Here is a 3,980-nt window from a genome sequence, read left to right on the forward strand (position 1 = left end):
TCATGTGCTTATTTGCTTATTTCCTCTTCAGTGAAATGTATGCTCATATCTTTTCATGATTTTCTAATTGGATTATTTGTTTGTATTTTTTACCATTGAGGTTTCTTTTATTATTATTATTTTTCTTGAGACAGAGTCTCTCTCTGTTACCCAGGCTGGAGTGCAGTGGCACGATCTTGGCTCACTCCAACCTCCGCCTCCCAGGTTCTAGCAATTCTCGTGTCTCAGCCTCCCGAGTAGCTGGGATTACAGGGTCGCAACATCGTGCCTGTCTAATTTTTGTAGTTTAGTAGAAATGGGTTTTTGCTATGTTTCCCAGGCTGGTCTCGAACTCCTGACCTCAAGGGATCTGCCCTCCGTCCACCTTGACCTTTCAAAGTGCTGGGATTACAAGTGTGAGCCACCATGCTCAGCCAACCATTGAGTTTTGAGAGTAGTATATATATCCATTATATATTCTGGATGTGAGTCCTTTCTTGGATATGTGGTTTGCAAACATTTTCTCCCAGGTCATACCCTGTTTTTTCATCCTTTTAACAAGATTTCTTGCAGAGCAAAAGTTTTAAATTGGATGAAATCTAATTTATTTTTTTCCTTATGGATTATGCTTTTTGAACCATTGACTATGCCCTAGATCTCAGACGTTTCTCTTATATTTTCTTGTAAAAGTTTTCTTTTAGTTTTATATTTTAGATTTAAATCTATGATCGACTTCAGTTACTTTTTTGTATAAAGGTTTGAAGATTAGGGCTTTTTTTTTTTTTTGGCCTGTGGCTCTGCAACTGCTCCAGCACCATTTGTTAAGCAGACTATCCTTCCTTCTTTTTGTCTCTTGGTAAAAAATCAGTGTGGGGCTATTTCTAGGTTCTCTATTTTGTTCCAGTGATCTATGTGTCTATTCTTCTCCCAGTACTACACAGTCTTGATTCCTGTAGCCATATAAGAAGTATTGAAATATGGTAGAGCCATTCCTCCCACCTTATTCTTCTTTTTCAAAAATTGTCTTAGCTATATAAATATTTTTTGAGATGGAGTCTTACTTGTGTCACCCAAGCTGGAGCTCAGTGGGGTGATCTCGGCTCACTGCAACCTCTGCCTCCCAGGTTCAAGTGATTCTCCTGCCTCAGCTTCCCGAGTAGCTGGGATTTCAGGCACGCACCGCCACACCTGGCTAATTTTGCTATTTTTAGTAGGGACGGGATTTTGCCATGTTGGCCAGGCCGGTCTCAAACTCCTGACCTGAAGCGATCCGCCCATCTCCGCCTTCCAAAGTGCTGGGATTACAGGCGTGAGCCACCACTCCCAGCGTTGTCTTAGCTATTGACAATTTGTTACAGCAACAATCAAAAATGAATATACATAGAAACAGATCAGTGAAACAAAATAGAAAGTCAAGAAACAGACTAATTTATATACCAACTTCAGCATGCATTTCCAAACAGTGGGCAAAAGATGGGGTGTATAATAAAGGATTGTATAATAAAGGATTGTTGTCTATCCATTTGGAAAAATAAACATTAAATCCTTACTTTCAACCACATAAAATAATAAATTCTAAAAATTCAGAGACTTAAATATGAAAAAGTGAAGTCATAAAGAACTAGATGACAATTTAGGAAAATATTACAGTGTAAGACATCTTGAGTTGGCATAGGCACTTCCTGACATTACACCAAGGCTATAAACAATTAATCTGACATAGGATGTAAAAATTAAAGTATCATGTAAGTCAAAAGACACCATAAACAACTATTTAAAAAGGCAAATTTTAGGCCAGGCGCGGGGGCTCACGCCTGTAATCCCAGCACTTTAGGGGGCTAAGGAGGGCAGATCACAAAGTCAGGAGATCAACACCATCCTGGCTACCACCGCGAAACCCTGTCTCTACTAAAAATACAAAAAATTAGCCGGGCATGCTGGCACACACCTGTAGTCTCAGCTACTTGGAAAGCTGAAGTAGGAGAATTGCTTGAACACAGGAGGCAGAGGTTGTAAATTTAAGAGGAAGGAGGTGATTTCAATAAGCAATGGTGAGGAGAAAAATAGTACAATTTATTGAAAAGTATAAAGTTTAGATTGTAAATTTAAAAAATTATAGTCTTGAACTAAAATTGCAGATGGGAGGAGGGACAGGAAAGAAAAGAGAAGTTCTTTTGTTGTTCAAGGAATGGATACAGATTCTAATGAATGATAGAATGGTAGAATGATTAAAAACACTAGCATTTCATTTTGTTTTATTTTAGAGACGGCCTCACTCTGTTGCCCAGGCTAGAGTTCCATAGCACAATCGTGGCTCACTGTAGCCCCAGCCTCCTCAGCTCAAGTGATCCTCCTGCCTCAGCCTCCCATGTAGCTGGGACTACAGGCGTGCACCACCACCCCTGGTTAATTAAATTTTTTTATTTTTTAGTAGAGACAGGGTCTTGCTATGTTGCCCAGGCTGATCTTGAACTATTGTCCTCAAGCAATCCTCCCACTTCTGCTTCTCAAAGTGGTGGGATTACAGCCATGACCCACTGTGCCCAGTTAACACTAGCATTTTATAGTACAAACTCTGGAGCCAGACAGCTTGGGTTCAGTTTCTGGCTTCTCAACTTTTTAAGCTGTGTGACCTTGTGTAAGTCATATAACCTTTCTGTGTCTCAGGCTACTCAAAAGTAAACTGGGGATAACCACACTAGCTCATTTGATTGCTGTGATTAAATGGGCAAATACATGTAAAGCACTTAGAATAGTGCCTGTCATGTGGTTAAGTGGTATATATCTTTTAGCTGTTTATATATATATATATAGATATAGTTTAGTTTAGTTGTTAGTAATGACTTCAAATTACTTTTAAAATGTAAAGGCATAAAGGCATATCTGGTTCCAGAAGAAGATGGTGAACCAGCAATAGCTGCTGGCTTCCTTCCCAAACCCAACCCTGCAGATGCCACAGAAGAGGTGGGAAGTGGTTGGAGTTCAGAACAGTTCCTGTAACAAAACCCTTGATGGTTTAGCCCCACTGGGGGAAAAGGTCAGAGGCCACAGATGGAGGATCAGCCCAGGTGGAGCTTTCTAAGTTGCATTCTTGTTTTCTCCTTGTTTTCTGGAAGCCTTATTACCTGTTGTGTAAACATATAGAGCAGACACTTGGCAGGGCTGGCCTAGTGCTAGCCCAAAGTGGCCTGATAACATTAAGGAATAGGGGGCTTGGAAAGCTCCTAGAAAAAGTGCAGTCTCATCAAAGCTGGCCAGTAACTGAGCATTCCTTTTCTACCTCTCCCTCTGCCCTCTGAGCTAGGCAATTACAACCAATATCACCCACCCGTAGACTCCCTCCACGCTGTAAGGCAGAAATCCCGTAAGCGTCTCTGGGGGCTCATAGGCTAGGGACTGGAAAGAAGAATTGGCTCAGCTCAGCTCTAGAGGCTCCGTATCCTACAACCTATCAATCCAGAAACCTTGAAACTCGTGTGGGGTGTTTGGGCTGACACACCTTCCCAGGAACAAAGAGTTATGTAGAAAAACTATCGGTTAGGCCAGGCGGGGTGGCTCACGCCTGTAATCCCAGCACTTTGGAAGGCAGAGGCGGGAGGATCCCCTGAGGTCCGCAGTCTAAGAGCAGCCTGGCCAACATGGCGAAACCCCATCTCTACTAAAAATACAAAATGAGTCGGGTGTGGTGGTGTGCACAGGTAGCCCCAGCTACTCGGGAGACTGAGGCAGGAGAATCGCTTGAACCCAAGAGGTGGAGGTTGCAGTGAGCTGAGATTATGCCACTGCACTCCAGCCTGAGTAACAAAGCAAGACTCTGTCTCAAAAAAAAAAAAAAAAAATTCCTTGCTTTCAGCACTTTGGAGTTATTACACCATTGTATCCTTGCCTCCAGTGTGGTGTTTGAGAGATCTGATGTCAGTTCAATTATTTTTCCTCTGTAAGTAACCTGCTATTTCTCTCTGATCATTTTAAAAATATTTTTTCTTTCTTTCACAATTTTA

This window comes from Homo sapiens, chromosome X, assembly GCF_000001405.40.
Source record: "Homo sapiens chromosome X, GRCh38.p14 Primary Assembly".
In the NCBI taxonomy this organism is placed as follows: domain Eukaryota; kingdom Metazoa; phylum Chordata; class Mammalia; order Primates; family Hominidae; genus Homo; species Homo sapiens.